Source organism: Homo sapiens, chromosome 4 (genome assembly GCF_000001405.40).
Source record: "Homo sapiens chromosome 4, GRCh38.p14 Primary Assembly".
Lineage (NCBI taxonomy): Eukaryota > Metazoa > Chordata > Mammalia > Primates > Hominidae > Homo > Homo sapiens.
Genome location: NC_000004.12, coordinates 134,067,950 through 134,080,686, shown reverse-complemented (window position 1 = coordinate 134,080,686; position 12,737 = coordinate 134,067,950). Strand labels below are relative to the sequence as shown.

Here is a 12,737-nt window from a genome sequence, read left to right as displayed (position 1 = left end):
TGTAAATATCATTTTAAAGCTTTCTGTGGATACATAAAAATGATGTTTTATTAACCAAAGAGATTAGGTGACTCCTTCTTATTTCATAAGCCAAGTTAACTAGCACTGTACCTTTCACTCTGAAGTTAGAGAATTAAAGATCTCAGACTTAATTTGAAGAATCAACTCTAGTACTCTGGAAAATGGATTTTTTTTCTTGGTAATAAAAGAATATAAGAATTCCCAAATGAAACATCAATCACAACTCAGACATTCCAACTCCTACTGCTATATTGGGAACAGAAGTAAAAATCAATGCTGGATAAAGTGCCAAATGCAAATTACCATTGAAAGAGAAACATTGCTCTGGGTATAATAGCAAAGCTGTATAAGGTGATATCTGAGAGGTGACAGGCTCATGAATAACACTTCTTAGACTCTCTTTTGAACTATGGCACTGGTCAAAGTAGTTAAGGTAGAAATATGGATCAAATCGTGTTTTCTAATTCACTCATGTGACATTTCAAAATAGATGCAAATTTAAGGACAAAGATATTTTTCCAAATGTTCTGAAATACTAGATTAAACCACATATATTTATCTTCTTAGTTGAAGCTATTATTATTTCCAGCAATATTCAGTAGGAAATAATCTCATTCCAATATTTAAAGCATAGTATGTCTGTAGGTTAAAAGTAATTTATAATAAAAAAATAGAAATAAAATGGAAAAAAATTAATACCAGGTTTTATACTCATTAGTTGTATTTTTCTGGTCATTTCCAAAAAAAAATTTTTTTAAACTATATAGTTTTCTGAAGACCTGTCACTGTCATAGCTAACACAAATAGAAAGCATTTTATAAAAACCATATAATATTAAATTTTAGAATTACCATTATTTTCCAAGGACCTTGGCTATTATCACATTCAGCAGTTCAGTAAGATGAGATTTCATCTCTATTTCTATTAATTGGGGGGAAATCTCTCTCTCTTTCTCTCTCTCTCTCTCTCACACACACAGACACACACACACACAGACATACACACACAGACACACATCCTTGTATTCTTACTAGCAGTTTTAAAAGATGCACAGTTTTTTTTTTTTTTTTTTTTTTTTTTTTTTTTTGAGAGGAAGTCTTGCTCTGTTGTCCAGGGTGGAGTGCAGCGTCACAATCTCAGCTCACTGCAAGCTCTGCCTCCCGGGTTCATGCCATTCTCCTGCCTCAGCCTCTGGAGTAGCTGGGACTACAGGCGTCCGCTACCACGCCTGGCTAATTTATTTTTTTTTAGTAAAGATGGGGTTTCACCGTATTAGCCAGGATGGTCTCGATCTCCGACCTCGTGATCCGCCTGTCTCAGCCTCCCAAAGTGCTGGAATTACAGGCGTGAGCCACCGCACCCGGCTGCACAATTTTTTTTAAAATGTTACAAAACAGGTTGGTTGTGGTGGCTCAAGCCTGTAATCCCAGAACTTTGGGAGGCAGAGGCAGGCGGGACACGAGGTCAGGAGTTTGAGACCAGCCTGGCCAATATGGTGAAACACCGTCTCTACTAAAAATACAAAAATTAGCTGGGCGTGGTGGTGCACACCTGTAGTCCCAGCTACTTTGGAGGCTGAGGCAGAAGAATCGCTTGAACACAGGAGGCGAAGGTTGCAGTGAACCAAGATCAGGTCACTACACCCCAGCCTGGGCGACAGAGCAAGACTCCACCTCAAAAAAAAAAAAAAAAAAAAAAGCCCGGGCACGGTGGCTCACGCCTGTAATCCCAGTACTTTGAGAGGCTGAAGCAGGCAGATCACCTGAGGTCCGAAGTTTGAGATCAGCCTGACCAACGTGGAGAAACCCCGTCTCGACTAAAAAAAAAGAAAAAAAAGAAAAAAAAATTAGCCAGGCATGGTAGTGCATGCCTGTAATCCCAGCTACTCTGGAGGCTGAGGCAGGAGAAAGGCTTGAACACGGGGAGGTGGAGGTTGTGGTGAGTTGAGATCGCCCCATTGCAGTCCTGTCTGGGCAACAAGAGTGAAACTCCGTCTGAAAAAAAAAAAAAAAAAGCTACAAAACTTATCTCTATGCTGAAAATTCAGCCTAATTCTAGGACTATAATGAGTATTTTCCTGTCACTGGAGTCTTTTTTATCAGTTTAACAACTATACATAATTCCACTTTCCAGGACTCTGACCAACATTAGCCCATCATGCCTCTCTTTCTAATATTTTGTTCTTTCTTTCGTTTTTTGTTTAGTGCTAAGCAATATGGCAAGCACAAGCAATAGTAACAGTAGTTTCATTTTCTTTTTGAATAACCACTTTCCTTTTAGATTCCTTTAAGTACACGGTGTGTGACATATACACAGGTGATATTAACCAGAAAAGAAAGCAGCCCACGTCTGTTATTTTTATACACGTGCTTTTGGTGCTCATTATTCCATTTATGGAAAAGTTCAGGGAATATGTTATGCCTTGATTAGGAAAGTAGAATGCATGAACATGGGTGAACTAATTCTAATAATTTCTGTGCTTGGTATAGTATAGAGATACTTATGTAAGCTTTTACTTTAGTATTACTTATGTTAAGTCCAGGGGGTCATTTTAGGTTAGTTATCACTTACCTTATATCACTGTATTTCAAATAGTTTGTTTTAGATAAGTATTTTTATGTACATAGTTTGATTTTTTAAATATCTTTTTTGTCCTGCAAGTATGAATCTCTGTTTTTTGTTTTGCTTTGTTTTGTTTTGTTTTTTTGTGGGGTGGTTGGTTTTCCCCCATGGGCATTTGCCTAGGTGCTGATGTTCTATGTAATTTAGTTAAAGATAAATATTTAATTGATTGCCGAAGCATGATCAGATTCCATGTGTCACATAATTGCAAACATGATGAAATCAACTTAAAAATTATGTGAAAATAGATTTTATATTAAAAACAACCTTCCATGGGAATAAACAGATATGAGAATACTGGAAATAGAGAAAATTAATTGAATAATGAAGGGGAGGTTAGAACACAAAGGCCAGAGGTAGACAAAAAAGCGTAAAGGATATGGGACTTATGATTGGTCCTTAGGAGAGACTTTCTACGTGGGAGGTGAAAATGTGCACACAACTGGAGACACTACTACGATTTCTGTTTTATTGCTAACCTACTTACTCCAAAAGGATATCTTGTTTAGCTCACCCACCCAATGATGTTAACCCACATAACAAGGTCAGTCATTCTATCTAAGCTTCTTTAATTTGCATAATGTAATTACACTTTTTTTTCCCCTCTTCTGCAACACTAATGCACTGAATGAATCAGTGGTTATTTTTATAGCAGCAAAGATCACAGATGCTTTTTTTAGGCTTTCATAAAACAATCTTACTACTGGGGAGAAAAAAGTAAAAGTAAGACTCTGTGCCCAGATTGCCTATATTTATGGCTGCACTGAATATATTAATATAAAGAAAGCAATGTTCAACAAATGGAGCAGAAAAAGAATACATAGCTGTACAGAAGTTTTCAAGATGGAACATTTCAAGAAACTTAATTCAATCCATGTGTATTATAGAAAACACAGACAAATGCGTGCACATATATACCCATAAACATACAATTTAAGCACAATAGAAGATGTAGAAAAGAATAATATGTCAAACCTTCCCAAGGAAGTTTGCTACCATGTGAAATTGCAAACATGTATGCAGTAAGCTATAATATGAACTATTCATGCTATAAAAATGTTCTATAGAGCAATAGTAGCACAGAAATATAATTATTTTATGAGATATATTGCTATGACAGGCAATCTCTTTAATTATCATAGACATAAATGCCATCTGGATGATGACATCATGCTTTCAAAATGTATACACATATACGCACATTCACACATATACATATATGTATATAAAACTAGGTATATATGAAAGTCTATCTATCTATCTATATGGGTATGTCTATATATCCATAACAGTTGTCCCCTCAAAGCTCCAGACCCACATGCTCAGTTGCTTACCTGACAAATCTTGGATATCTCATGAGCATTTCAAATGTATCACCTCCAAAGCTGAGCCTTTGGTTTATTACTTGCCCGCAAAGATTACCTCCATCAGTCTTATCTTCTTACAAAATGGTACCACTAGTTACTCATTTGCTTATATCAAAACCTACATAATTTTGACTCCTTCCTTTTCCTGACTCCCCACATATAAGTCAGAGGCAAGCATTGTTGATTCTCTCGCATGTATGTCCCTTCCTTCTGCACTGAAGATGTTCCCATCTTCACTGTTACTGCTGGCCCTACTTCGGCTTCACCTATCAATCCATTCTGCACTCTCCAAGGAATGTGATCAGAAAGAATAAATCAAATGCTGTCACTTTGAAGGCACCTCCCACACTTCCTACTTTAGTGTTAATAAAAATCTAAACTTTCTTATTTTAACCCAGCCTCTCTTCTAAACTCATCTGTTGCAACTCCAGTCATCAGAAACTTTCAGACCCTTTTTCCTTTTTAAGGCTTTTTGAAGTGTCATAATTCTGATTTCCACTTTTTAAATGGCTTTAAATTCCTATTTCAACTAAGTTATCTTCAACAAGAAGTCATTCTGAAAATTTTCCTGAAATTAGGTATCCAGGTAACTGCATTCAAAAAAAAAGGTAGTGTGTGTTGTAGCTATAGCTCCTCATTCCTCACTTCTCTTTTTTTTTTTCCAGTTCCTATTATAAGAAATGATTGCCCTGTTCATTTGTTTATTTACTTTACTTATTTCCTGGAAAATGTGTGCCTTGCTAACCAACTTATCTTTATCTTTGACCAATTTAATGATGTAAACAATCAATATATATTTTGGAATCAATGGATACATGCTTGCAGAGGCATGGTCCAGGAGTACCCACGAGGACAGCATGCTCCAGCAGATGCTATAGAACACATAAAATTTTACATGGTCAAGTAAGAATAAGAAGCAAGTAATTGATGTTTAATCAATAGATAAGAAAGAAAAAATATAATAATAAAAATTATGGAAAAAGAAAATTAAACTGGAATCTGACTACAGATTTTTAGAGTTTTATTTTTTGAAAGTAGGAAGTCATCTTATATTAAATCACATTAGAAAAATAACTAGTGTCCGCTTGGGGGAATATGTTGGATAAAGCTAAAAGTCTTAACACAGTCTACTTCGGATGCTATTAGAATAGTTCAGATAATTAATGATACTCATTACTCAATAAGTAAGAACAGTAGATTGATTCAGCAGATATCACTCCAGTTGAAGCTTCTGAATGCATTATTAATTAATTAATTTATTTATTTACTCAATGAAGATATTGACTAAGACTTTTTTATCTTAAGAACTGCTAGAAATCTAGGTAGGTTCAAGAGATGGATGAAACATTCAAACCTTGGCCTCTCAGCTCTTTGACCTCCTTAATCACAATATGTTCTCCTTTTCTAAACATTTACCATCAACCCTCACATTCACAATCTCTAAATTAAAATCACCTTAAAGTGCTCCTACATTGACATCAGACACTTTCAAATCCTTTGGACTATCTACTCAAAACCCTGAACTTCTCCTGTATTTGAAATCTTGGAAATATCCAGTCATTAGACACTTTTTGTCTTTAATTCAATTATAAGAAATGCTTAAACAAATTCCCATATTAGGTTTAATATAATTTAAACATAATCATTTTTCTCCCTCCCCAAGGAGATTAACTGACCATGATTATTTTCAATTGTCTTAAAATACAGCTGATATAGCTTGGTTGTGTCCCCACCCAAATCTCATCTTGAATTGTAGTTCCCCTAATCCCCATGTAGAGTGGGAGGGACCCAGTGGGAGGTAATTGAATCATGGGGCCAGTTACCCTCATGATGTTCTCATGATAGTGAGTGAGTTCTCACAAGATCTGGTAGTTTTATGAGGGACTTTTCCACTTTTTGCTTCCACCTCTCTCTCCTGCCACCATGTGAAGAAGGACTTGTTTCCTTCCCTTTCTACCATGATTGTAAGTTTTCTGGGGCCTCACAAGCCCTGCAGAACTGTGAATCTCTTTCCTTTATAAATTACCCAGTGTTGGGTATTTCTCCATAGCAGCATGAGAATAAACTAATACAGTAAATTGGTACTAGGAGCAGTGGAGCTGTAAAGATACCAGAAAATGTGGAAGCGACTTTGGAACTGGGTAACAGGCAGAGGTTAGGACAGTTTTGGGGGCTCAAAATAAGATAGGAAAATGTGGGAAAGTTTGAAACTTCCTAGAGACTTGGAGGGCTCAGAAGACAGGAAGATGTGGGAATGTTTGGAACCTCCTAGAGATTTGTTGAATGGCTTTGACCAAAATGCCAACAGTGATATGGACGATGAAGTCCAGGCTGAGGTGGTCTCAGACGGAGATGAGGAACTTGTTAGGCACTAGAGTAAAGATCACCCTTCATATGCAAAGAGACTATTGGCATATTGCCCCTGCCCTAGAGATCTGTGGAACTTTGAAATTGAGAGAGACGATTTAGGGTATCCAGCAGAAGAAATTTCTAAGTGGCAAAGCATTCAAGAGGAAGCAGAGCATAAAAGTTCAAAAAATGTGCATCCTGACAATGCAATAGAAAACAAAACCCTATTTTCTGGAAAGAAATTCAAGCTGGCTGCAGAAATTTGCATAAGTAATGAGGAGTCAATTGTTAATCACCAAGACAACAGAGAAAATGTCTCCAGGGCATGTCAGAGAACTTCTCAGCAGACCCTCCATCAGGCCTGGAGGCCTGGGAGGGATAAATGCTTTTGTGGACTACACCCAGGGCTCCCCTGCTCTGTGCAGCCTCGGGACATGGTGCCCTGCATCCCAGCTATTAATACCTCAGCTTCAGCCATGGCTAAAATGGCCCAATGTACAGCTCAAGTTATTGCTTCAGAGGGTGCAAATTCCATGTGTTGGCAGCCTACGTGTTGTGTTAGAGGGCTCACAGAAGTGAAGAATTTAGATTTGGGAACCTCTGCCTAGATTTCAGAGATATATGGAAATGCTTGGATGTGCAGGCAGAAGTCTGTTGCAGGAGCAAAGCCCTCATGGAGAACCTCTGCTAAAGCAGTGTGGAAGGGAAATGTGGGTTGGAGCCCCCACACAGAGTCCCCACTGGGGCACTGCCTAGTGGAGCTGTGAGAAAAGAACCACCATCCTCCAGCCCCCAGAATTTTAAATCCACTGACAGCTTGCACTGTGCACATGGAAAAGCCTCAGACACAACACCAGCCCGTGAAAGCAACCAGCAGGGGGCCTATACCCTGCAGAGCCACAGAGGCAGAGCTGCCCAAGGCCATGGAGCCTACTTCCATCAGCGTGACCTGGATGTGAGACATGGAGTCAAAGGAGATCATTTTGGAACTTTAAGATTTAATGGGTGACCTATTAGATTTTTGACTTGCATGGGGCCTATAGCCCCTTAATTTTGGCCAAGTTTTCCCATTTGGAACAGGTGTATTTACCCAATGCCTGTACTCCCATGTATCTAGGAAGTAACTAGCTTGCTTTTGATTTTACAGCCTCATAGGTGGAAGGAACTTGCCTTGTCTTATATGGGACTTTGGACTTGGACTTTTAAGTTAATGCTAAAATGAGTTAAGACTTTGGGGGAATGTTGGAAGTACCAGATTGTGTTTTAAAATGTGAGGACATGAGATTTGGGAGGGGCCAGGGTGGAATGATATGGTTTGGCTGTGTCCCCACCGAAATCTCATCTTGAATTTTAGTTCTCATAATCCTTATGTGTCATGGGAGGGACCCACTGGGAGGTAATTGAATCATGGGGGCAGTTACCCTCATGCTGTTCTTGTGATAGTGAGTGAGTTCTCATGAAATCTGTTGGTTTATAAGAGCCCATTTCCCCCTTGTGCTCGTCAGCTATCTCTTCTGCTACCATGTGAAAAAGGATGTGTTTGCTTCCCCTTTCACCATGATAGTAAGTCTCCTGAGGCCTCCCCAGCCATGTGGAACTATGAGTTAATTAAGCCTCTTTCCTTTATAAATTACCCAGTCTTGGGTATTTTTTCATACCCAAGTCCAGTGTAAGAATGGACTAATACAAAGGCTAACCAAGATATATGGGTGTCTGCTGAGAAAATCTATGAGAACCATATACATTCTTTAAACCTCTGTTCCTAAACTCTTGCTTTTAGAAATGTCACTTCCCTACTTGCAGGTTGTTATAAAATGTAGAGAAAACACACCTACAATTCTAAAGAAGTAAAACAAAATTAAAATTGACAAGGTATCCCTATGGAGTCACATTTTATGCCCTAAAGGAACTTATAAAATGGTGTGAACACTTAGTCTACTGCTAGTTCTAGGTTTAACAGCTTGCACAGGACTAACTGAAAGGCTCAGAAAGAGGGCTATCATGTGACTCATTGTTGACAGACTCACATCAACTCTGGGGCCAGGAAACATTCATTCATAAATTGAGAGAATCACATCTTTATGGAGAGAACTGGAACTAAAAGGGATAACACTGTGGTATTATGGGACAATGCATTTGATAGGGAGAAAAAGGAAGCTGAAGGCATTTTGTGATTTATGTCATTGGTTGTTTTATACTCATTTCAGGCAAAAAGAAATCACATTTTTTTTTTCAGAGAGAAATGACATCCTAATTTTGCAGGCCCTAGAACAATGTTCTATTGAATTATGCTTATATTAATTTGTCCATGATGTCATGTATTCTTTTGTCAGTATGCTAAATTCTCACACCCATTTGTCCATTCAACATTCTTATCTATACAACTAAAACCTAAAGTCTAAAGGAACCCCTCTTTCCACTTTTTCTATACTCCTGTCTGGATTGCTGAGGATTACTAAAGACAAACAGGCAACTATAAAGTTATCTTCATTATTCTTAACAGGGATCATTAAATGCTTAGAATTTCTACAAGATTTTTCTAAATTGTTTCACTTCCTGGTTCTCTAAACTGAGTATTTTAAATTATTTACTGTATTAAAATGTCTAACCCAATCACCTTGCCCATATTTTTTGTGCATTACTGTGTTTCTTAATTTACAGAGAAAACAACAGTCTCCTTTTTCAAACTACCTCAGCCTCATGCCTAAAGTCACTCCCCACTATTTCATTTAAATTATCTTCAATATTGTTATAACAGTTTGCCTCAAAAGGCATAGGGTGGTGTGAGAGGTACAATGATCACTCATAGAAATCTATTAGTAGAGGAATGAAAACACCAAAGAATTTTAATAACTTGTGTTTGGATATTGATCAAAGTTCTCAATCGGTTCTAGGGCCAATTAGCATAACTTGTCAAAACAAGTGTTTCAGTGATTCAAGATGTCTGATAAGATGCAGCTAGAAGGAACATCTACCACCAAGAGACTGGTACATAAGGAAGACTGGCACACTCAGAGTGTATCTTCAGAGGAAGGCACTGAGAGTGGACAGAGGGAGGACACAGATGATGGGCAGAATGAGGAGGAAGCTGGGAACCCTGCATGGCACTACTGCACACAGGGACTTTCCTGACTCCCACTGACTCCTCAGGAAGCCATGAGCTGAACAGGAGTTGAGCAACGTGCTCTTGCCATGGACCTCCAGAATCCTGGCAGCAGGAGACCTTATGACCTCCACAAACACTTCAGCTATCAGGGAGAACTGCTTAGAGAGGTGGCAGGAACAGTACTCCAGCCTGTCTGAAGCCCTCAGGGTTTGGTATGGGAACATCTGCAGTGGAGCATGTCCAGTAATGCCCATTTCCCAAGGCTCGCCATGCTCCTCTAGGAGACTTTAGCCATATGGAGAATGTCGGACCTGGAGAGAGCAGAGTAGTCTTGTCCATGAGACAAGGCCAGTCTGATCTGTGTTCTCTCTTTTCTGCTGGCCTCCCCTGGGGCACAAGTCTGGCCACCTTGTTGCAGTGAAGCTGCAGCTGCCCAACTGGGATGCTACCCTGGGGCCCTCATGGTAGCTCTTTTGCCAGCAGACTGCACCTGACCATGGGAGAGCTCTAAGTGACCTCCACCAACATGTACCAGTTCACCTGCACATTTTGCTGGCCCACAGTGACCCACAGCCACACCCCCACTGCTTTGCCAGTGTCTGGGTGGGCAGACCACACCTCCCCTCCTCCAGCGGCATGTGAGTGCATGCACACCCACTGGGACACTGCAGCTGGCATGAGCGTACCTCACCCTCCACCCCACTATGCCACCATTGCTGTTGCACTGACAACCCCATGCCCCGCTGTGCCATCACCACAACTGCCTTAATCTGACACAAGGAGGCCAACAGCCTTGCACAGGCCAGTTCACCACCCCTGCTGCTGGTATGAAGGCCTGCAAAAATGTGTCAGCCCAGCCCCCACTGCTACCTCACCACAGCCGATGCACATGCACCCCACCACACTGCCGCTGCTGCTGGCACTTGTGAACAAGCTTGAATCCTGCTGCCACTGTCTTAAAGAACCACTCTGGCTGGCACCACTCATCAGAGTGCTGTGGTCAGTGGTACGGGAGCACCTAGGCCCCACCAATGCAGCACGTTCCTAAGCTCACAAGGGTCCAGAAAACAAAGCTGGGGACCAACATGAAACCACACAGCACACATTCCTGGAGGGCTGAGCTGAGCCTTGGCCCCCTAAAAATGTCTGGAAATGTAGCATAAATCCATCTTATGCAAAAATCAAACCCCCAAGGGCATCAAAGAAAATAAAAGCCAAAAAAAAAAAAAAAAACCCTCCAAAGGACAGCAACTTCAAGGACCAAAGGAACATCAGACCACACAGATGAGAAAAAACTAATGCTAGAACTCTGGCCACTCAAAAACCAGAATGTCTTATTCCCTCCATATAACTGAACTATTTCCCCAGCAATGGCTCATATCCAGGCTGAAATGGCTGAAATGACAGAAATAGAACTCAGAATATGGACAGAAATAAAGATTATTGATATTCAGGAGAAAGCCAAATCCCAACGCAAGGATTTTAAGGAATGTAATAAAATAATACAGGATACGAAAGATGAAATGGTCATTTTAAGAAAGAACCAAACTGATTTGATAGAGTTGAAAAACTCACTTCAAAAATTTCAGAATACTATCACAAGTATTAACAGCAGAATTGACCAAGCTGAGGAAAGAATCTCAGAGCTTAAAGACCAGTTCTTCAAAATAACTCAGTCAGAAAAAATAAAGAAAAATGATTAAATAAGAACAAATACTCTCCAAAAATATGGGATTATGTAAAGAGACAAAATATGTGTGTCATTGATGTCCCTGAAAGAGAGGGAGACAAAGCAAGCAACTTAAAAAATATTTCAGGATATTGTCCATGAAAATTTCCCCAGCCTTGCTAAAGAGATCAACATTCAAGTTCAAAAAATGCAGAGAACCCCTCTGAGATACTATACAACATGATCATACCTAAAGCACATAGTCATCATATTCTCCAACACCAAAATGAAAGAAAAAATGTTAAAATAAGCTAGAGAGAAGGGGCATGTTACCTATAGAGGGAAACTTAACAGGGTAACAGCAGACCTTTCAGCAGAAACCCTACAAGCCAGAAGAGATTGGGGACATACATTCCTAAAGAAAAGAAATTCCAACCAAGAATTTAATATACAGCCAAATGAAGCTTCATAAGCGAAGGAGAGATAGGATCCTAGTCCAGATAAGCAAATGCTAAGGGAACTTGTTACCCTAAGACCTATCATGGCTGGGTGCAGTGGCTCACACCTGTAATCCCAGCACTTTGGGAGTCCCAGGTGGTTGGATCACCTGAGGTCAGGAGTTCGAGACCAGCCTGGCCAAAATGGTGAAACCTCGTCTCTATTAAAAATACAAAAAGGTAGCCAGGAGTGGTGGTGCATCCCTGTAGTCCCAGCTACTTGGGAGGCTGAGGCAGGAGAATCACTTGAACCCAGGAGGTGGAGGTTGCAGTGAGACGAGACTGCACCACTGCACTCCAGCCTGGGCAACAGAGCGAGACCCTGTCAAAAAAAAAAAAAGATGTATCTTAAAAGAGGTACTGAAGGGAGTGCTAAATATAGAAATATGGAAAGGAAAAACACCTAATAGCCACCACAAAAACACACTGAGGTACATAGATCACTGACACTGTAAAGCAACCTCACAGTCTGCATAATAACCAGCTAACAACATGATGACATGATCAATTTCATACATACCAATATTAACCTTGAATGTAAACAGGCTAAATACACCAATGAAAAGGCACAGAGTGGAAATTTGAATAAAGAAGCAACATCCAATAGCAGACTGTCTTCAAGAGACCTGTTTCCCATGCAACGACACCAACAGGCTCAAAGTAAAGGGAAGGAGAAAAGTCTCCCAACCAAATGGAGAAAAGAAAAAGCGGGGATTGCTATTTTAATTTCAGACAAAACCTACTTTAATCCAACAAAGATTAAAAGAGACAAAGAAGGATATTACATAATGGTAAAGGTCTAATTCAACAAAAAGACCTAACTATGTTAATATATATGCACCCAGCATATAGGAGCACTGAGATTTGTAAAGCAAGTTCTTAGAGACCTACAAAGAGACTTTAGATTCCCACACAATAATAGTGAGAGACTTCAGCACTCCACTAACGTTATTAGAAAGATCATCAAAACAGAAAATTAACAAACATATTCACGACCTGATCTCAACACTTGACCAAATGGACCTAACAAATATCTAAAGAGCACTCTGCCCCAAACCAACAAAATATACATTTTTTATTATCTGCACTTTCTCTAAAAGCAACCA

General features: G+C 39.6%; 1 protein-coding gene across 7 annotated transcripts in view, besides 1 other annotated feature; it reads left to right on the top strand.

The window, feature by feature from the left end:
* The window catches only part of PABPC4L (poly(A) binding protein cytoplasmic 4 like), a 253,443-nt gene that overhangs the window by 121,215 nt on the left and 119,491 nt on the right, over positions 1-12,737 (top strand). The gene's annotated exons all lie outside the window — the stretch shown is intronic.
* Positions 9,313-10,001: an enhancer, noted in NCBI's record as "H3K27ac-H3K4me1 hESC enhancer chr4:134991841-134992529 (GRCh37/hg19 assembly coordinates)". NCBI's record gives its function as "activates a minimal SCP1, AML or CMV promoter by ChIP-STARR-seq in primed H9 embryonic stem cells {active_cell/tissue: H9 hESC(primed)}" and the evidence as "EXISTENCE:reporter gene assay evidence [ECO:0000049][PMID:30033119]".